Source organism: Homo sapiens, chromosome 5 (genome assembly GCF_000001405.40).
Source record: "Homo sapiens chromosome 5, GRCh38.p14 Primary Assembly".
Taxonomy (NCBI): domain Eukaryota; kingdom Metazoa; phylum Chordata; class Mammalia; order Primates; family Hominidae; genus Homo; species Homo sapiens.
In genome coordinates this window covers 41,747,638-41,770,740 of record NC_000005.10, presented here as the reverse complement: position 1 = coordinate 41,770,740, position 23,103 = coordinate 41,747,638, and the positions used below count along the sequence as shown (strand labels likewise).

The following is a 23,103-nucleotide window of genomic DNA, read 5'->3' as shown; positions in this document are numbered from 1 at the left end:
TTTTACCCTTTGTGAATATTTGAAAGAAAACAGAAGTGGTAGTTTTAGGATTTTAGAATTTGCATTTTTTATTTAATTTGGCCTCAGAAACATTGAGAGGGCATTCAAGACCTATAAGCTATTAAAAGCAGGAGTTTTGTATGCTTAGTGAAAAGCACAGAACACCTAACAGGTATTAAGTAGATGCTTAATTAATGATTAATAGTTGGGGTATCCAGTTTCTTAGGACTTTTCCTTGGGTGTCTTATAAATGATTTTTCTCCCCACTTGAAAAAGCAAATTCAGTGTAGTTCAGATATGTATTAAATAACATTTATTTAACATTCAGCCCTGAAGAAGATATTTAAAAAATGTCCTTAGTAGGGTCAATTTTGAAGGACACCATATTTTCTTCTCTATAGCTTTGCAACTTCCTGAGGTGAAGTTTTAATTTTACATTTTATTTTAGCCACCTCTTTTTTTCTTCTTGCTATCATTTTCTCTGTAGGTAATGTCCCTAGCTTTGATTACTCTCATTAGTACACCTTAATATCTTTTTGATTCTGTATTTTTTAGAAACAAACTTGAAGATGGAATTCAGTTTACTTAAATACATAGTGAAAACAAGCTATCATGTATTAGCAACTGCACTGGGTTGAAGGTGAACAGGGAAGGCAAAGGGCTCATAGTCTAATGAGCAAGGGCTGGGCGTGGTGGCTCACGCCTGTAATCCCAACACTTTGGGAGGCCAAGGCAGGCGGATCACCTGAGGTCAGGAGTTCGAGACCAGCCTGACCAACATGGTGAAACCCCGTCTCTATTAAAAATAAAAAAATTAGTGGGGCATGGTGGGCGCGTGCCTGTAACCCCAGCTACTTGGGAGGCTCAGGCACAAGAATCACTTGAATCCAGGAGGCGGAGATCCTGCCACTGTACCCCAACCTGGGCAACACAGCAAGACTCTGTCTCAAAAATAATAATAGTAATAATAATAAGCAAGATGATATCCTACATCTGTGATAGGTGATTTTTTTTTTACTTGAGTCACGGTTTCTCTCTGTCGACCAGGTTGGAGTCCAGTGGCTGCTCAGCATGGCCTTGATTTGCTGGGCTCAAGTGATTTTCCTGCCTCAGCTTCTCGAGTAGCTGGGACCACAGGCACACATCATCCCATCTAGTGACTTTTTTTTTTTTTTTTTTTGGTAGAGATAGGGTCTTTCTATATTGCCCAGGCTGGTCTTAAACTCCCGGGCTTAAGTGATCCTCCTACCCCAGCCTCTAAAATGTCCAGATTACAGGTGTGAGCTACCACACCTGGCCCTGTGACAGGTGGTCTTGATTAGGTGGTAAGGCACAGGCACTGATTAATCAGAACAGATGTGAGAAATCAGAACAGATTTGAGAACAGATGTGAGCACTGGTAGTCATAGCTGCATGGGGTCTTGGAGGCTCCCTATTGTGTTTTTAATTATTAAATTTTGGGGGGAAGGGTGGTTAGAGAGAAGGGAGGTGTCTCATAAGGGAGAGATCATAACTACTTGTATGGCCTTGTCACTACCTGCCACTACAACATCAGCCCTGATCTTAAAGCTGATAATGTGGTAAATTTTAAAATGGGAATATGCAAGTATGCTGTGAGAGGTTCCTAAAATAATCATGTGGATAGCGTGGGACAGAGGTCTGTGAACACTTCCTGAGAGAAGTCATCATGATTGATACATAAAGAATAAGCCGGAGCTCACTTCATAGTATGAAGGAGAAACCTCAAGGCATGTGGGAGCCATATGCTATGTACAAGCAACTCACTATTCCTGGCATGGAAATGGGAACTGGGGTGTGAGGAAATGAAGAGGGGAGGGTCCAGGTTATTACAGACCTTGAATGCCAGGCTGAGGTGCTTGGACTTTACCCTGAAGCGCTGAAGGGTTTTATGCAGAGGAGCAACGTATTCAGATGCGCATTTTAGAGAGGCGGTTTTTGTGGCTGCAAGTTGGACAGAGAGGGACAAAGCTGGACACATGTTGACCAGTAAGGAGACTACTATAACTCTTTAGGGAGAAATCATGGGAATCTTAGCTAGGATGAGAAAAGGTCAAGCTCAAGAAATGTTGGGAGAAGTGGAGTTCTTAGTAGTTGAGCGACTGATTGGATGTGGGTTATGAGGGAGAGGCAGGAGACAAGGAGGTTTCTGATTTGGATCTTGAGGTGGATGATTGGCCATTAACTGAGCCAGGAAATTTGCAGGTGGGTGAGATTTGCCTTTATGAAGATACTTAATTTAGTTTGGATCATATTGAGCTGAGGCATGTATTAATATAACAGAAGTTTTTATTTCTCATTCACCTAGAACCAAATGAGTATCCCTAATTGTCAGGCAGCTCTCTTCTGTGCAGTAATTCAGGGATTGAGATTCCTTCCATCCTACAGCTCCACCATTTTCAACTTGTAGTTTGCGGAAGGTAGAAGAATGTGGAGGATTGTTCTTGCAAGGTTTTATGGTCCAGACCTGGAAGTAGTATACATCACTTTCACTTTCCATTGTCCAGAACTTATTCCATGTGACCAATTGTAACTTCAAGGAAGGCTGGAAAATGTAGCCTAACTATGAGCTCAGGAATAAAGGAACAATTTTGGGAATCAGTTAACAGGATGTGCCACAGGGTGACAGGGACACTTTTGGATATCGAAGTCTGAAACTTGCAGCAAAGACCTTAGCTGGAAATGTGGTTTTAGGACTCATCAGAGACAGGGGCAGTTCATATGATGAAACTAGATGGAGTCACTCTTGGAGAACAAGTAGGCAAGAGCTGAGGACAGAGCTGTTAATTTGGCCAACATATAAAGTGTTCTGGGAAAAAGGATGCTAGGTAGAAAACTGAAAGCCTCAATAGCAGTAGGAGGAACCAGGACCATAGAAGCCCCTAAGTGGAGGATTTCAAGGAGTGAATGGAAGACACTGTGATATGCAGTAGATAGATATAGGAATGTAGACAGATATATAGTAGACACTATATATATATATATATATATATATATATACACACACATATATATTAGATACTAGATAGATATATAGTAGACACCACAAGGTGTCTACTCAATCAGATGATTAACTATTAGAGACGTGACTGAGTAGAGTTCTCACTTCAAGGGCACAGTCAAGCAGAAACAAGATTTTCTCTCTCCAGGGAATTAGCAGAGAGGAGCCATGGAGAGAGGATGGAGAAACTGGAGCAATGGGGCTAATTGATGACATAGAGCATCCCTGAGAGAACAGGAACAAGAGAGCTTATTAAAATAAAAATTTGAGTTTATCAGAATACTGCTCTTTTGACATGCTTTTTTGAAAAGCCCTTATAATGATTGATAACTGATTTTTATTGTAAGTAATTTTGCTAACCTAACAATAGAGAATATAATTATATTTCTCGTTCCATATTAGTTGGTTTACATAATCAATTCACCTGTCCTAGAAAATGCCATTAATCTTTGAAAATAACTTTTTTTGGTTTTTTAAAAGAAAGTGTAACACAGAAAAGAGAAATATTCTCATGTAACTGTGCTATAACTGCTATACTAAGGCAAATTTTAAGTCTCTTATTTTTCCTAGAGAAAGGTGTTTATAACCTGTTACTATATGTTTAAATTAATGTTATCTTTCTCAGTTTTCCTCTCTCCTACTCTTTAGCTAGGAGCATGCTTAGAGGACTATTTCTTTTCTAGAGCATTTTTTAATAATGGGGAAGACAGATATAAAGAGGCTTACATTTGGATTGAGGTGGGTACTTAATGTTCTGGTATTTAATATTGAGCAGTAAGAGCTAGTTTTATTAATAAATCATTCTACAATGATCTTTCCCTTTGACTTCCAATAGATTCACACTTTCTACTATGGCATATAGCATTACTTTAAAATGCTTTTAAAATTGTTTCTATATATTATAAATTGTTTCTCACTTAAGACCAGAATATTTAGAGGTAACATCTGGAAATGAGCCATTACTGTTTATGTACTAATGATAAAGGTAACGGCAAGAATGATTTTCAGTGTGTTTTGTACTTTATTTTAAACAGCATTTCACAGAACCATTCAAATGCATTCATTTTTCCTTTTTGTAAAATCCTTAAAATATCACCAAAGATCATGTTTACAACTTGAATTCCTGTTGTTGTTGTTGTTTTTTTTTTTTTTTGGAGTACAATGTAATATTGATACTTTGATGTGTTGACTTTTTAATGTTACTGAATTTATAATAGTTTTTCTCTTACTTTCTTTAAAATTCTAGTATTAGGAAATAGGATCAAAATAGGTGAAATTATTGATTTCAGCTTAAATCTATTTTCTAGAAAAAAGTGGATCATCATATTCATCTTTTATTTCTAATTCCTATCTTGGTGCCTGGTTTATAATAGATTCTGAGTAAATACTTGTGAATTGAGGATACTTGAATCAGTATCTTTAGAAAGGTTGTATAACTGTTGTGATGGAGCATGCGGCATTGCTAGCTCATTTTATTGCAGAATCTTTCCATACTTGCTATCAGGGTCAATCCTTAACAGCAAAAAGATGAGTTGGCTATGAAATGAGCATCCAGCAATCATCTCTCCATTATGCTAGCCAGAACGCATTTCAGAACTAGAGTTGCATCCTTTAAGAAATGTATGTTTGCTGATGAGATTTTAAAGAAAGCCATACTTTGTGTCATGCTGGCCCAATGCTTCAATCATTCCCAGAAGCTCTTCTTCATTATAGGCCTATTTTCCCCAAGTATCACTTTCCCTCTGTGACTTATTTAAAGATATATTTTTAGCTCCTTAATCTCCCCATTTTATCAGCTTCTTGTTCTGTATGTTGAATTAGGATGTTGAATTTTGGGGATGAAGATGAGGGATGGGGGTGGACTCTATATTCCCCTGTTCAGCTATTCACTTAACTTGTAGTGCTCTCATCTTCTCAAAATTCTTTCCATCCATTCATTCACTCACTCATTTTATTCACTCAGCAATCATGTTTTACCTCTGCAAAATGTCAAGCAGTGTGTTGGACATCTGGATAGAAAGGTGAATTACTCTGCCTAGGACAGCATCTGACATAGTCACCTCACTCAGGGAGCAGTAGTAAAATGTCCCCTTAAGAGCTTTGCTCAGATCCCCTTCTGTTGTGCAGCTATAACAGTTCTAATTTGACACTGAATTCTCACCCTTCCATATAATTTGGGCACCACTTTAATATATTAGTCATACTAGCTTCTGTAACAAATAAACCCTTCAGTTTGAGTGGCTTAGCACCCTGTGCACTTATTTTTTTACTCATTTTGAATGGTGCAATGTAGTTCCAAAGAAGTGGGCTGTGCAACAGATGGTCCTTTAAGGACCAAGGCTGAAGGAAACTCAGCCATCTTCCAAAGTCGCTTTGGATGTCAGCGTCCAGATTGCAGAACGTGAAAAAACATGAACTGCATGAAAGAGATTTTTGTAGGCCAGAGCTGAAAATCATAGATGTCACCTCCATTTTTTCCATTGTCTGGAACTCAGGCACATGGCCACCCCTAACTGGAATAGAGATCTGGGAGATGCAAGTGGTGGGGACCCAAAAGAATGCCTAGCTAAGCTGGAGTGAAGGATGATGATGCATTTCCCGCTTATGTCAGGGAGTATGCCTTGTATAACCCTGTTTTATTTTCCTCCTGGTATAAATAGAACGCCTTTTCTTCTTTTTAGTAATGGACTGTTTCAGAAATCCTTTGGGAATTGAAATGGAGGGAAACATTTTATTTTCTGTTTCCAATACAGTGAACACACTAAAAGCAGAAAAACCAGATATTTGAAGGTTTTCCTGTGACCTGCTAGAAATGCTATTAAAAGATACTGCTCTTATCTTTCACAGTATTGCTCTTACCACCTAATGGGCTACTTGTGTGAATCCCCTCATTTGGGAATCTCCCTGAGCTACTTCCTTCCCTGCCTGCTTTCCCAGCCACAGTTAGCAGTTGCATCCTCAGTGTTATACCTTTGTTGGTTTAATTCATTCATCCACTCACTCATCCAAATATTTATAATGGAGAGAAGAAGAGAAAGAGGGAAGGCAGGGAAAGAGAACAGTTGAAATTCACTGTGATAGCATTACATACTGAATAGTATAAAGGCTTAGGGAAAAGACACTTATCTGTACTTTGTGATAAGAGAGAGGTGAAAATGTTCCTTTTAGAGGAAGGAAGTGTAGTCTGAGTCTTTTAGTATTCATGGATACTTTTCCTTCCATAGGCAACAAGCTTTTCCAGGAGAAGGACCTTGTTTTGATCTGACTCTAGCACCCTAGTATACAGCAACACTTATACTAGACATTCAGTAAGTTGAATTGATTGAAGATAAGTGAATACATTTATAAACTCTATTTATTACACGTTTGCATACATCATCTCATACAGTGCTCACCACAGCTCTATGGTAGGACAGATATTCTTATTCCTGGTGTACAGATAATGAACACAAATTCAGAGAGATTTGGTGTTTTGCCATTGACTCATAGTTAACAGGCTAGATCTCAGGTGTTCTGCATCTAATCTTGTGCATTTTTCACTCTTGGAAACAAGCATTAAATTTAAGAATCAAAATAGTGCTTTAAAGGTTGTAACATGTGCTTTGGAAATGAGACATCAAGCCAGCTGAATCTCTTTGAGTGAAGGCTATTCACTTATATTGAGTCAAGAGTGTTTTTAACAAAAACAGACATGCTTGGTCTACCATGTTTCATAGTGTGTTATATTCTTGCCAGCACACTGGTTTGTACCCTGCAGGGCCTCTATACATATTTCTAAACTAATTGACAGTAATTTAAAATGTATAAATCAGATTCATCTAAATTGGGCAGGCTTCCTTCTTGTTAGAGGCTGTCATAAGTTTTTACCTATGTAACCATTTTGTCACAGGGGACAGAATTTGCCTGTGGTATATTCTAATTCAGGGACTTTTTTTTAATTCAAAGAGTTGTTAACTCTCTAGCTTGGTTTCTGGTTTTCTTTGGCTGCTGCCTTTTCATTCTTCCAGCGCTCGCCCCCTCAGTCTGCCAAGGACACTATGTATAGAAACTGAGACTGCCTGGATGTTCTTACCATAGCAGATTGACACATTTTATCATAGGGTTGCTTTAGTGTCTTTTGTTGCTCTACAAATCTCAAACTTTCTCATTAGAATTTGATAGGCATTGATTGCTTCCATCTCTGACTTATTTATATTTTGTACGATATCAATGTTCTCTACAGAAATATTATGACCAACTTAATAAATTGGCCCCAGTTTATTAGGGTTGCAGCTAAGAATGAAGGCATTGCTTATAGAAGTTTAAAAGTATGCATTTCCACATTATGTTCTGCTTCAAACGGTCTGAAACCAGGCTCATTTTGTACTCTGCATTCTCTCCCCTGCCACCCTCATCCCTTGTCCCCCAGCTGTTGCCAGCTGCCATCTATCTTATTTACTGACAGATTCCAAACCACAAAAATGTGGTGACTACTTCTTTTCTTCATACTGCTCATCTAATTCATGTTCATGTTCTGTTTCATTGACCTGTAAAATGTCTCCAAAATCATGGAATTCGAGACCGTGTTTTAAAGCCATGTTGTGTGCATTTCTTGATCTCCTTATAGCTCTAACATTATCAGAAAGGAGCTAAGAGCCCTCTAAGACTTTACTGGCAAATCAGCAAGAGGACTTGGGCTAAAAAATAAATAAAATTTTAAGGAGGTTTCAGTTCAAAGACATTTCTCCTCAATATACTTGAGTAAGAATCATTTTATCATCTCTGGAAACACTTGCTTTTTCCAGAACTCTGTAAGCAGGAGACAGAATAGACGGATGGACTTTTTCAGAGCATGTGGTACATAGAAGGTGGTTGGTAAAAGTATAATGAATGAAGGGATGGCCAGATGATCAAAAATAGAATGATAATGGTGAAATGATCCTGAACTCTGTTTCTGTGTTCTGTTTTTGCTTAGCAAGAATGTTTTTTATTTTATTTTTCTAAGCGCAAGATAAATGCCAAGTGTTAGAAAGACAGAGCCACCTTTCATATTAGCCATTACTAGAAAAACACCATTCATGCCTCAGCCTACTACTACATAATGGAATTTTAATCTGCAGGAAATCCAAGAGTACTTTAGAAAGTGCCCTTAATTGAAGACTCAGTAGAGTTGATTGTGTTTAAAAAGAAGTGGATGTCAGGGGTGTTTGGATTTCAATCTGATAGTGTAATAATAGTAATGTCCCAGAATTCTGGAAAGGTTTTTAATTTTTTTTAATCCACTGATTGTCTTATTGCTAAAATGTCAAGAAAATCATATTAGCCACACTTAATAAAAGTGATGTAATGTTTATCCTGAACTTTATCCTTCAACCACAGAATAATAGAGTGACAGAATATTAGGTTATAGAACTTCAAGCACTAAGCAATGAAGGACAATGAGTTTTTAATGATTCTAGTAGCTTATTTTTGCAAGTTAATTTTGTTCTGTCACATACAAAAGAAGTGAAAGATACAGAGCTATTTATTTTTTGTTTTGCAGGGGAAGATGGTGAAAGGAATGGGAGGTGCTATGGATTTAGTGTCCAGTGCGAAAACCAAAGTGGTGGTCACCATGGAGCATTCTGCAAAGGTAACATGTACTGTGCTCCCCAAATACTGCTTTTGGAAATTTGCAATACATCAAAACCCAGTGTACCACCAGGTCACCTAACTGTGGATTTTATTTTCTCTGGCTCATTCAAGGTGATAGCATTTACATTTGAGAGAGAAAGATGACAAAAACAGTTACTTATTATTTATTTAGCTAAATGGTTAACTTTGAGTGAAACCAAACATCAGCATGTTCTTCAAATATTTGTCCTGCATACCTATTAAAAGTAAAAGCTTTATGCATACATATTAAAAGTAAAAGCTTTAATATCTCCAAAGGAAGTGAAAAGATGTCTGTATGGATGTATTGATTCAGGTTTTAAGATGATTATAGTGGTTGCTATCTGTGCGTGAAATGAAAAGCCACAACAGAACATACATCTTAACAACAGTTATTTTCAAATGGACCATATGGCCCTCAAAGCTGTGAGGTGCCGTATCCAGAAGATGTTACAAAATAATGGACTAGGTGATAGCTCTGAAAGGTATTATACTTTTATTTTGATAAATCATTAAATATTTGAGTGCCTGTTACATGCTAGGCATGCTAGGATGTGGCAGTGACCAAAACTGGACAAAAATTACTGATCTCATGAAGCTTACATTCAGTCTTTTTCCTCTTCCTTCACATTGCAATAATAATAGCTACCATTTTTTAGTGTTTACTGTGTGCCAAGAATACACCAAGCTCTGTGTATATGTATGGGCCCATGAACTTGATATAAGTGCTCTTAGTATGTCCAGAAACAGAGCTTTAGAGAGGTTAAGTAACTTGCCCGAAGTTCTGTTAGAACTAGTAGAACTCTGATTAGACCTGGTGTCTCTGATTCCAAAGCCCAGTTGTCTCACCAAGGAACTATCAGTGTAAGTTTCTTCCTTGTTCCTGACTCAGTGTCTTTGGACGAACTGAGCTTAATTGCCTTCCTAACCTGAACCCATTGGCTTCTACTGATTTTAAAAGTTGATATTGAATGCTTTCTTCATCTTCTTTGCCTTCTCTTCATCCTCCTTTATTCTTTATCATTCTTAGTTTTAAAATCTACCTCTTCTCACTTTGAGACCTGCTAATCTGAGTGGAAATGACAGTTCATTTGCCCTCTTTTTGTTTAGTGATGCAGCATTATGTTAAAGCACGGAACTAGAAGATTCACATCCCACCTGCTTCCCCTGGGAAAGTTTGGTTACAGAGAAATGTATGCCACAAAATGATTTTGTTGTGAAAACAGCTATAAATATGTGTTATCATAAATTGAGTAAACAGTGGGAGGTGAGCAGTGGTGCATAAATATGGAATAATAGAAATGGTACCAGCACAGGTGACTTCTGAGAATGCCTTGCAAAGCATCCAAAATACTTCATTTCAGAGGCAAGAGGATGCCAAGCATGCAAATCAAATCCAAATCTTTTCTGGAAAATAATGTCTATTTGGAAAAAACTCTTTCAGACTTTCTTTTTGTTGTGAACCTTAATATTGACACACGAAGGCACTGAAGTTCAACTTATTTTAGTTTATTTTTGTGTATTTGTTTTCAAAACATTAGGCCTATATTTTGCAAATTCTTTTCTTCCACCCAAGTCCTTTCTTTCTCCTCAGCTGGAATTTCTGATAGAGGAAAATAAATGATGCCACCAACTTCAGACTAGAAATATCTTATTAAAGCTTTCCACAGAAGAAAGATCATATTTTTTACTTCTTTCCTTCTCTCAGTGGGGAAATTAGCACTGAGTTTTAAAACAGAATTGGAATGAGGTATTTTTCCGTAGATAGTTTCATTTCAACAAACCAATAAAACAATGTACTTATGATTAAAATAATAGTAATGAATTATTCACAGTAAACAGTTAACCTTTGAAAAATAATCAACAGTTTCTCTTCTCACACATTTTACTTGTGGCTCTCGAATATGTAGCTGCTACTATTTTGTTCACCTGGACTCATGGTTACTGGCCCAGCTCAAGGGAAGACAGGGAACCTGCTATTTCTTTTTTGCATCTTTTGCTTTGGTTAAAAGTTGAGAAGAGCTGGAAAAGAGGTAGGGAAGAGAGTTTTTTCACTCCTGGTAATCTCTTCAGTTAAGAATCTGTTCTTTTAGATATGCCAGGTAACTTCTGCTGCCTTATGATTAAGTGAACAGCCTAGGGGAGCAATCTCTAGAGTTTTGTAAGACATGGGAGTAAAGTTTGCAAAGAAGGATTAAAACCTGAGAAATATAGTCTTGTATTCTTGTGCTGCTGTTTTGCTGTTTTTTTTGTTTGTTTGTTTTGTTTTGTTTTTTCTGTAAGTGGATAGAGCTATTAACTGGTTTTCGGGTAGGGCTATCTATTTCCTTATCGATAGGGTTACAGTTAATTTGCAGGTTGTTTATAAATATAGCATTGCTTGGCTTTGTAAAAATGTGTTTTTTGTTGTTGTTTTAATAAGACAAAGGAAACTCTTGCAACCAGTTACTGCCTTTAGTTCAGACTCCAGCAGCTTCTAAAACCTGAGACCTGGCTACCTACGGGTGCTGCTCTGGAGTAACACCTGCCCTCAGACTACCTCTGCAACGTATGTCAGGCACACGGGTCAGACTGGCATTGTAACTTGATTTTCATTTGAGCCTAGACATCAGAGTTACAGGCAAAGTTTTGAAGTAGGCAAAGTTTTTTTTGGTGTCCAGCCACCTTTCTTCTTAAGCTTCTTTTTCATTTCTAGGTATATCTTATCTTCTGCCCTTTAAAAATGTGAAGAAAGGAAAGGAGTAACAATCTGAGTCCTTACCAGGTGGAGGTGCTGTGCTTGGCACTGCATATGCTTAATCTCATTGATCCTCTGAAGTAAGGTTGAGATATGGGTATTAAGAAGCTTATCCAGGAAAGTGACAGAGCTGGAATTTGATTCAGTGTGGTGCAGCCTGTGTTCATACTGCACCATGCCACATCCTCACAAAGCTACCTCTGCACCAGCGTCCCACCCACATCTGCCCTTTCAGGAAGCTTCAGGTTTTTTTTTTTTTTTTTCATTTTCCCTGGACAAAGCTCTCTTTGCTTAGGTGAGACTTACATCAGCAATATGTTTAAAAGAAAATAATCCAAAAATCTAATTATATCTTCTAATACCTATCTCCATTTCTTCCTTTTTGCATTAGACTCCTCCCTGTTTTATCTGGGCACACAGATAAACCCAGTGACTGGCTACATTTCCTAGCCTTCCTGTGCATAGATACATCCATGCTACCAAGTTTGGGTCAGTGGGATTTGAGTATTTATGATGTATGTAATTTCTGAGGTATGTCTTTAAAGTTAAAGCCAATTGCATTAAATTTTCTATGCCCCCTCTGTCTGATAAAGGCCTTGACTGCAGCAGCAGCCTTGGGTACAAACCTGTAAACCATGTGCTGCGGGTTGCAGAGCTGCCTCCACCACTTGTATCCATAGATAGATTCCCCATTCCTTCCTTTATGGGTTCCCTCCAGAACTCTTTATAATGCCCTCTGCTCTGCAGCCTTCTAAGGTGCCATCTGAATCTTTGGTACCAACTACTATTTTTCACTCAGTGGCTCCCTCCACCACTTGTATCCATAGATAGATTCCCCATTCCTTCCTTTATGGGTTCCCTCCAGAACTCTTTATAATGCCCTCTGCTCTGCAGCCTTCTAAGGTGCCATCTGAATCTTTGGTACCAAGTACTATTTTTCACTCAGTGGCTCCTTAATCATTTTTCCACACTAGAATCTTCTGATCAGCCATAGAACTATATTTCTAACTTCCTATTACACAACTCCACCTGGTTGTTCCACAGCCACCTCATCTGCAACAAATTTTGCCAACTAAATCATCATTCCCCCTAAATATGTTCTGCTTATTTGGCCCAACTAGAGAAGTGATGATCTCCCAGTTATCATTTGGCAGGGCATCCATGGTCCCTCTCTGCCCCTACCCCTACGTACACCAAGCACTATAAATATTGCATCAATGTGACTCTTGTAGTCTGCTCCCCACTATGTATTTCTACTCTGTTTATCCCTGTTAAGGCCTTCTTTACATCTGCATAGATCACTACTGCAGCATTCCAAAGGTCCCTGACTGCTGACTGCCCCTACGTCCTGGTAATCAAGCACACGACTGCCAGATTGACTAGTCTAAAACTAAAGCTAGATGAAGTTGTTGCTATTTAAAATCTGTAAACATAGTCAACACTGCTTGGTTCTACTTAGCCCATCTGCCTTTGCGATTCGCTCCCCAGCAGCCTATCTCATCCTTGCCCGCAGAACTTAAGGTCTACTAAGATCTACAGAAAGGCATCATGGTGTTTCCCATTCTTAGGTGTTTGTACATTCAGTGCCCACTCCCTCTTTATCTGGCTTATTCCTACCTCTGTAAAATCATAGATGAATGAGCCAATGTTTTATGAATTTGCTGGTTTAGTTCCTTCTGTCCTCTCGACATTGTGAATGACCAAAGGAATATTCTTTGATGTTTTGTCTTGAATTTTGGTAAAATTACCTTCTGAGTATGTTAATTTACTTGTTTATTCAGACATAAAATATTTACTGAGGACTTGATATGTACAAAGTACTATCATAGGCTCTGAGGAAATGAAAAAAGATATGGTCCTTCAGGCAGCCCAGTCTTATGGGGGCAGAGTCATGGAAATCAGTACTTAAGATGAAAGGTGAGCAAAGCAGAGCCTGCAGAACCTGGCATCTCATTCCCAGTTCCATTGTTGGGGAGCAACAAAGAGGCTTCCCATGGGATGTATGGAGTATTTGCAGGAGATCTGAGGGATGGGGCAGCTTGACAGGGATTAAGTGTTGCAGGAAATAAAAGAATAGACACTGGTGTGTGGGAGGATGGTGCATGTTAAGAGATTTATAATTAGGTCCCTCTAGTCAAAGAACAAAGCGAGAAAGGTTGAGTGGGAAAAAATATACTCACACTTAAACACACACAGTGGCCAGAGTGATTTTTTTCGCCAAAATGTAAATGGGATCATGCTACTTCTTTGTTGGCTCAAAAACCCTCAATGGCAGCTCAAAAACCCTCAATGACTTCCCATCTCACTTAGATTCAAGTCCAGAGTCCTTACTATTGTCTCCAAGACTTCCATGGTTTGTAGACTCCCCCTGCTTTGCCACCCCAACTGCCTCTCTGAATCTGTTATCTCTCTTGCCCACTTAACTTCACCCTCACTCACTTCCTGAAAGTTTCTAGAACATCGTAAGAATATCTTGCCTTGGGACCTTTGCATTTGTTATTCTTTATGCCTAGAATACTTTTTCCTAGCTATCCACATGGCTCACTGCCTCACTTCACTCAGACTCAAAATACCAGAGAAGCTTTCTTTGACTACCTTATTATATACAACAGAACTCTTCCGTCTTCAGACGATCCTTTCTCCCCCTTCTTCAGCAGAATGCAAACTCCATGAAGACAGGGGCTCTGTTATAAGCACCGAGTAGAATAGAGCCTTATGTACATCATGGCTCAATACATACTTGTTGAATTAATTTTTCAAGTAATCCACCTTGAACATATAGAAAGCACTTCTAACTTTTCCAAGTTGTTACATGCTTCTGTCTCCATTTTATCATTATAACCCTCTCATGAGATGGTTCTTGATATTTTCTTTCTAGAGGCAGAATTTCATAGAGGTTAAGTAACCCAATAAAATAAAAAGTAAAACCAAGCCCAGAGTCCATGCATTCTGCCTCTGGGCTTCCTTTTCCTTTTGTTAAGCTTTTCTGCTGGCAAGCACCATTACCACTAACAACATGAAGAATCTGTTTTGTTCTCAATATCATGTACGGGAAACGTGTTCCTAAGTATAACTTTCAGACCACAAAAACAAAGGAATTCAGTTACTGTTGTCATTTAATGGCAACAAACAAAGCTTGGTTTCTTAATTTTGGAGACAAAATGAGAACTCTATTACTAAAACAGGTTTAGATTTTTGTATTACAATAGGAGGTCTGGATTCTGAAGGGATAAAAAGAATAATTGTTATGAAGTTGAGAATAAACCTGGTGAATGAAAGAATAAACCTTGTGTTTTTTAATTTGGATTACCTTAAGCTTATTAGTGTTAAAAAGTATACTCATATAGCTTCACTCACTCTCTCCTGGCTTGTGCTGCCTTTGTCATATAAACTGTAGCGATCTTTATACTCATCTGCCCATCAGAACATATTTATAATTGTTGTTTTATGCAACTGTGTTTACAGTCTTGTAAAGGAAATGTTATATTTATGTATGTACCTTTATGTGTACCAATATTTGCTTTTAGGTGACCTTTTATATTTACCTTTCCTGCTGTTCTTTATTTCTTCACCTTGATTCAAATTATAGTCAAGTATCTTTTCATTTCAGCCTTTAATCTGTGTCTATAGCACAGGTCTCATATAGAGCTGAAAGCTATCTTATCTTGACTTCACTTTTTGTGGAGAAGAATTATAAAAGGTAAATGGAGTTTATTAATCCTGCTTATTTTGGATGAAATGTGTTATCAAAAGCCAACAAATATGAAGGCTTTTTAAGGAAAACCCTTTCTTGGGAGACATCCTTCAGATAATTTTCAGCAACATTGAAAAGTAGCTCAAAATGAAAGTATTCTTTTCTTAGGAGAATTCATAATTAATAAGAGTTTCAGCTAGCTTAATTTTTTTCTCATTTATAAAAGCGTATAATTCTTTCCTAGCTTCAATTAGAATATACAGTAGCCAGGTTCTGTTTGGGGAAAAAAAATTCACCTTTAAAAACTATAAATCCTTACATGGTTTTGCCTTTTTATTTCTCCTTTATGATAGAAATGCCTGCAAAAACGTTATAAAATGGGAGAAAAAAAGCAGAACACAGTCCAACAACTAGTAAAACTCTTTAAAATGTGTTACAGAATTTAATTAACCTTATCACTTTAAATTCTTTAGCTTTGCATTTATGTGCACAAGTCTCCACATTTTCTAAAATAAAAAGGAAAACTAATGCTAACAGAGGCTTTCTAAGGTACCACAACAGTTCATGAATGAAAAGAGAAAGTAATTCCTGCTGACTTCTGTGCTCTGCCCTCTGGAGGTTAGAGATCATAGGACGCAACCTTTAGAAAAAATAAGTATGTCTATGATAATGATTTTTATGATACAGTGTACAAGAAATGTATATGATACAGTGTATAAGGGGCCTTCTATTCTAAGATCTCAAAACCCTGAAGACCGTTTTTCAGGCAAATGGCTTGCTGTATCTACTGTTTCATTTGGCTAGTCTTCCCCTTGAGAATATACCTGTAACCACAAACTTTTATTACCTCCATATATTACCTCCACATATCATTTGTAATAGCAAATGTTCTCTGCTTCTAAGTTAGCTGAGTCTCTCTACTGAAGTCCTGAGTGGATTGTTGGAAACCCTATAGTGTAGGCGCTGTATAAAGGTCAATCATATCCCATGAGGACAAATGCAGTGTGAGTAATCTCATTCTTTCCTTTTATTCTGTGTACCTTGATTTTCTTTATTTAGCAAATCCAGTTCTTTTCTTTTTTTAAAAAAATTAAATTTTTTAATTTTTGTGGGCACATAATAGGTGAATATATTTATGGGGTACATGAGATGTTTTGATATAGGCATATGGTGTGAAATAATCACACTGTGGAGAATGGGGTATCCATCTTCTCAAGCATGTATCTTTTGTGTTACAAATAATCCAGCTACATCAGTTATAGTGATGTGACAGTCATGTATTTTGTAATACAGCATTTCCCATTATTGTATTTGTGTGTGTATGTGGTATGCTTGATTTAAGCATTGAGATTAAGTGGGAGAAGGAAAGAGCAAGGGTGTTGATAATCAGGCTTCATCCATGATATTTTGGCAAGCCCAAAGATAGACCTGCCATTGGCTTCCTTGTTCTACCAGACAAAGTATTTAATATTCTCTTGCCAAGAATATTAAATTAAAAGAAGCCCTTGTAGTCCTTCTTTTCAGCAAATTATGGCAAGTGCCTTTAAGCTTTAGAAGGGAGCAGGTGGAAGAGGTAAAATAACTATAATTCACTGTTTCTCTCTTAACTTTCACATTTGTATGTTTTGGGCTACAGTCCTAAAGTGTCTTTGCTGCTTCCTTTTATCACACCTTTATCTGTCTTCCCAAAGTCTTATAAGCCCCGTCATGTGCTTCTGCTAGCTGTGCTGCTTCTAGTGAGCTCAGAGATACTAGGAATGTACGAGTACCTATCTTAGAACTAGAAAGGCAGCCCCTAGTGGTCCATAGACATTAGTCACATGGCATTTTATAGCTCCCCTCTGGAGTTCCTTGAATCAGAAATGCAGCCTTTATTGATCACTGTAGTTTGCCTAATGTTCTACTCATGGCTGTACATATGAAGAAAAATAGTCTTAGCTTAGTGAGCTCAGCATCTAATGGAGGTGGTGGCAAGAGGTCAACATGTGAAGGGAGGAGGAAGCACAGGAGCACCTAGGAGGGCCACACACTGGGGACACCCATGGGAACATGACTGCAGCACCAGATGAGGATGCTGGATGAAGGTTTTCCTAGGGAAGATGGTGTCTGAGCCAACTCCTGAATAGGAAGGGTGTTGCCGTTTGAATCTGGGGTGATGAGGTATGTGGTGGTATGTGTTCCAGCTAACAGGCAGCATGAACAAAAGCTGAAAGGCTTGGTCTTTTTAGGAGCAGGCAAATCCCAGAACTTGCCTTCTCTGTAGTTGATCATTAGGGCTTTGCCAAAGAAAGTACTGAGAGAAAAAATACGTGCACACGTGTGTGTCTGTGTGTGTGTGTGTGTGTGTGTCTATGTGTGTGTGTGTGTCTATGTGTGTGTGTGTGTGTGTATTGCAGCCACATTTAACAAGCACTTAACAGAAAAGATGAGCATGAAATGAGGTTTTGTATAAAGCACAGTCTTAAAGATTTCAGGTGAATGTATTGACATGAAATGCAAGAAATCATTCTGTTGTGATAAAGAGCTTATTTGGATTTGGGATTAAGTTCATTGCAATAACATGAAACTTATTGTTATGATAGCAAAGGGATTTATTACTATTTAACTAGAGTTGTTTAATACTGCAGAACTTAGGCCCAGGATTTTATTCAGACATCTAAAGAATTAAAGAGATCACCAAGAAGCAAGCAATAGAAAGTACTAGAGTGTTTAGTCACTTGAAAATGGTGAATTACCCTATGTATTGCTCAAGTCCTGTAAGCGCTGAAGGAGAAAGAGAAAGATTAGGGAAGCTGATGCAGGAAAGAAGGTAGATGTTCACCAAAGGTTGTGATGAAGTTAATAAGTAAGGGCATATTGAAATCAGGAGCCTCAGGACTAGTCAGTTTTTTTTGTTTGTTTTTGTTTGTTTGTTTGAGACCAGTTCTCTTTGTTGCCCAAGCTGGAGTGCAATGGCATGAGCATAGCTTACTACAACCTCCTGGGCTCAAGCAGTCCTCCTACCTTGGCCTCCTGAGTAGCTGGAACTACAGGCACGCACAGACACAACTGGCTAACTTTTAAAATTTTTGTAGAAATAGGGTCTTGCTATGTTGCCTGGGGTGTTCTAGAACTGCTGGCCTCAAGTGATCCTCCCACCTCAGCTTCCCAAAGTGCTGGGATTACAGGTGTGACCCATGCCACCATGCACAAAGCATTTTTAATGCTATGCTTTGTATCTATTTCTCTGCCTTTTCTGACAACCCTTCATGAGGAAGGAAAGAAATGCAATATATAAGCATGAATGAGATCCGCGTAACCCTGTATATTTGCACCTAGATTCAACCCACCCTAGTTTATTGCAGTTTCAGAACATTTCATTTGATTCCTACAATGATCAGGTAAGGAGGATAAAGCAAAGGATAAGAGAGAACTATGGCACAAAGAATTTAAGGGACCACAAAAATTGTATGGCAGAACTAAGACTACAAACCTGGTCTTTGGACTCCTAGTAGAGTGCTCTTTGCTCCCACACCATACTGCATTCCTTTACTAGGATTTATTTTTAAATGCTAAAACCTCAGCACTTGTTCCTCCTTTGTGAGTCACTAATATATGCAGCTGCCATAGCATACTGTAGGGCTCAGCCCAGCATATTTAGAATAGAGTGCTAACATGGGAGCTAGTCATATTTTGGTTTCATAGCTAACCTTTTATTGAATATTGAAATTGTGACATTTTAAAATCTTTCTGCATCTCATTTTCTTTTTCCTTGATCTGTGTTATGTCCTGGCACTATAAATGTGAATGGAATCATCTAGCTCCATTGTTCTAACAGGAATACATTTGGTGCCAGTTTCTTAGGAGAGCCATATGGTTTGCCCCCAAATTTGTGTTGTGTTTTCACTAGTTTTATGTGTCTCAGGAATTGTATTTAGGCCATTTTCTACATAATCCTCTGTCAGACTTCATATAGGAACTTAATTTCCTCGCAGGTTTTAGAAATATTAATTATGGATTGTATTAAAAACAGTACCAGCTAACATTCATTAAGCACTAAGTGCTGGACCCTTGCATTTCATGTAGAACTTATCTAATCTTTCAAGGTAGGGTGGATGGAGAAGCATGGGCATGTGGCTCTTACAGAGACAGTGGGGGGCATGGCCAGGTTTTACACACAGGTCCTTTGGCTCTAGCCCATGCACTTAACCACTATGCTATAGTGTGTATGCAGAGAATGGTCTAGAAAAAGGTCTCCATTGGTAGGGCACAGCCAATTCTGTCAGTTGAAATCCTTGATTCCTCCTAAAATGAAGTTGATTGTTCATTAAAATCCAAGTGGCTGCTCTCATGCCAGATGTAGATCTTGCTCAAATAATGAGAACTAAGTAAGAGCTCCTTGCAGAAAATGTTCTTCAGTGGCTGGCAGATAGTTCAGTTTGTTTGAAGTCAGGCCCAGAATTCATTGTGACATGCCTTGATTTATATTAAATGTAAGGAGACCTGACAACTGTAGAAGTTCGAATATTTGTCATTAATTTCAGCTGTTTAATTAATTTAGCTTCTGTGTCGTGCAGAATTTGAAATTTTAAAAGAAAAATAATTAGAAGTGAAGTGAAAATGAAGCTTTATTTCTGCAACTATAAATTTTCATATACAGTAAGATCTGGAAACATATGAATTGTTTTAAAAGGTGTTATGTCAACTTACTTCATATGTATTTAGCACCAGTTTTGTCTGAACTAAAGTAATAGTTTTTTTAAAAATCTATCCAAGATTCCCAATTTACCTCTGTTTCTCTTCCCATTCATTCTTACATGCCTTTATTCAAAAACTACTGAATGTCTTTTATTCCCTGAACTGGCTTAAGTACATTAAAGCCCCTTAATTACTAGTGCATTGCTGAGTTGGCAGGCTATCACAAGGAATGAAATCTTAATGGAGTCCACCTATCTGAAATTCATAGCCTCTGCCCATATACTTAGCCTGACACCAGTTTTGGGAGAGATATAAACTAGATAGTAGGTGTGCATTTAAGCAGGTAAAACATTGAGATGGCTAAGGACGATAGTGGCGTCACATGTGGTACATTAGATCCAAAAGAAAGCAATAAAAGCATTTTGTCATTTTTGGAGAAGATCTAGAATATGTTAGAGTAGCTATCAGCCCCAAGGGAGACAGTAATTTAGGCTCCTGGTGCTTGACTCTTAAAAAGTAGCTTAATCATGAACAGAAGAAAATGATCTGAAGATCAGATCCTCAGAGCCAATGTTTCAACTGTGTTCCTCAGACATGCCTCAGAGGCCAGTTCTACATTGCAGGTGGGAGGAGGGGCTGGAGGAGGGAGTCAATGAATGAAAACATTTTTTCCACTTTTAGTTTTTCTTAAGTCTTCCTCTGCCACAATAGGAAATGAATAGATACTGTTTAAAATTGATTAATCAAGAAGTAGCATGGTAAACATAGTATTTTAAAAGTGGATATAAGAAGAAAATGTGTAGAAACCTAGAAGAAAATGCTAAAAAAAAAAAAAAAAAAAAAAAAACCAAAAAACACACTAGAATGGATTCCAGTTAAGAGCAAGTCTAAGAGTGGGGAAGGGAGGCAAGGCACTGCTGTTTTCCATGTACATATTACTTTTTTAACAGATAAAGTATTTTTTAAGAAGAGGACTTACGCATTTGTGTTCTGTATGTGCTTTGCATCCTGCGCAGATATCTGCTCACATTTTTAAAGGAGACCATTCCTTGGAAGGGAAAAATAATCAGGATATTAGTGACATTTCACTTCAAATGATACAAGGGCTGAGGCTTGAGAAGTCAAATTTCTGGCAGGATGTTTCCCAATTAAATCATTTCTGCCTTTGGCCATTCATCTGGCATTCTCTAAATTATTGCAGGTACAGAAGCTGCCTCCAAAAAAAGAGTAAAAAATGTAACTGTGCAAAAATTCTGAAAGAGTCTTTACTTAGGAGACAATTTCTCTGATAGTTTCTGTTTATCCTATAGTTATGCCAATTCTAAATAAAAATTGCTCCCTAACTACTCTTTTTGATGTTTTCTTTTTAAAACAGGGAAATGCACATAAAATCATGGAGAAATGTACATTACCATTGACTGGAAAGCAATGTGTCAACCGCATTATTACTGAAAAGGTAAAAAGTGCTTTTTCTACTATTACCATGTTTTAAGTAAGCATTTTTAGAAAGTTTTGTTACCTTCTAAGAGTGTATTACACCAGTAGTCATAGGATTAATTTAGTCTGTGGGCAGAACGAATAGGAAAGCTCATCAATTTAATGTTTCTAAATGTAGAATTCTTTATGTGCAACTCTTTGGAAACATGCAAACAAAACTGAATCACTGTCCTTGGTAACTTTGACAGTGTGCTATAATCAGAGAAAAGTTTTATTGATCTTTATATTTTGACTATTACAGTGTCAGGCTGGATGGTGATATATGCAAAGTTATGAATATATTATTTCTACCTTTTCTAAATCACAAGTAGAAATTTTTGGATTTTAAGAAATTCAGTGTAAGTTGGGTTTTTAATTGTTTCAGTGCAAATCGTAGTATAGGCCCCACAGTAAGCCAAGAAATGTATTCTGTTTCTTGCATGCTTTCTGCTCTCTTTTATAGAGTAGGGTTTCAAAACACACAGTGACTCTCTAGATTCTTCTTACTAGATGGAACATATTGGTCAGTAGTACAACTGAAAGCTGCTCAGACCAGAGAAGCATCACCAGCAGCTGTCTGTCATCACCCTTCTGACTCAGATTTGAACCTAGTATGTCGGAATGACTTACTGCTTTTAAGTCAGCTGGGAGGGTGTGTTTTCTTGATTCAGTACCTTGAAGAAGCCACAAAACAGAATTATGTATATCAGGTTCTTTTAGTGCTGTTCCATTTGCCAAGAACAATAGCATTAGTGTCTTGGCATTAATCTGACTCGCTAACCTCACTGAGGTGTGACAGTGAGCACCCTAAAGCAGGCTTTGAAGTGGGCTAGGAGGCTTATTATTCCCAGAAGCCACTTTTAAGGGAGGTTCTGTCCTAAATGATGCCTTCCCCAGGACTACTTATGTGGAATGCCATGAAGGTAACATATAAAGAACAAGATAAAGGGGCAGAATATTTTATCCCACCATCTATTCTGAATCTTTACCATTTCTTGAATCCCCCTAAAACTATGAACAGGGATTGTTGAAAAGAATCCATTACTTTAAAGATAAAAGCAAAGCAATCTTTTACCCTGTTGGTTGTTTGTTTATTTTTAAATAAAGTGGTAGTCCTTCTAAAGATAATTCCAGAAACATTCTTCCTGTGGGTCCTCTCCTCCTTCCATCAGCCCTCTCCTCATCTCCACATGTGCCCTGCCCTTGTTCTTACCAGTTCAGTTCTTCTACCTGTCATAGCTCCCACTTGATCCTCAGCCTCCCCAAATACTACCTGTCCTTTAAACCTAATGCATTTTCCCTCTTCATGATGAAGAGGTTTTGCACCATCATAGCACACAACAATTTATTCTCATAGTGGTCCACTGTTCATTTTGGCACTCATAATCTAATGTATTCTTATGCTATAACTTACATTGATATTTAACTTTACTATCATTTTAAAAACTTTTGAACCAGAGTGTTCCCAACAGTGTGCTACAGAAAGGAGGAAGGCAGAGTCTCTGTCCTAAAGGACAACATGGAAGAAGGGTGAGACACCAAACATCCAGCCTTTCCAGCAGTCAGAGTAATTGACATGATAAAGGCCATATGGAGACACACGCCAGATGCTAATCTAGGGACATAGAGAAAAGCTGCCCAGCAGTGTGGGCAGAGGTGTCAGGGAAAGATTTTTGGTGTTATTAAATACAAGCTTTTAACATATCTTGTGAAGCATTTCACAGTATGTACCTTTTCTCCTTTAGCCTATTTCTCTCTGCTTTAACTTTCTCCCTACTTGAGCCATGCTAAAATGCTGTGAACTACATTCCATTCTTCCCTGGACCATGTTCTTTTGAGACTTTGCACATCCTCCTTCTCTGTCTGGAA

General features: G+C 38.0%; 1 protein-coding gene across 7 annotated transcripts in view; it reads left to right on the top strand.

The window, feature by feature from the left end:
- The window catches only part of OXCT1 (3-oxoacid CoA-transferase 1), a 140,361-nt gene that overhangs the window by 99,685 nt on the left and 17,573 nt on the right, over window positions 1–23,103 (top strand). For 6 of the 7 annotated variants that reach the window (NR_157114.2, NM_001364301.2, NM_000436.4 and 3 more), the window contains 2 exons: window positions 8,541–8,630; window positions 21,134–21,214. Coding sequence is in view for 6 of the 7 variants with exons in the window: in NM_001364301.2 (NP_001351230.1) it covers window positions 8,541–8,630; window positions 21,134–21,214 (171 nt within the window). In the remaining variant the exon portion in view is untranslated. The remainder of the gene's footprint in view (window positions 1–8,540; window positions 8,631–21,133; window positions 21,215–23,103) is intronic. The other variant, NM_001364302.2, reaches the window with a different exon arrangement.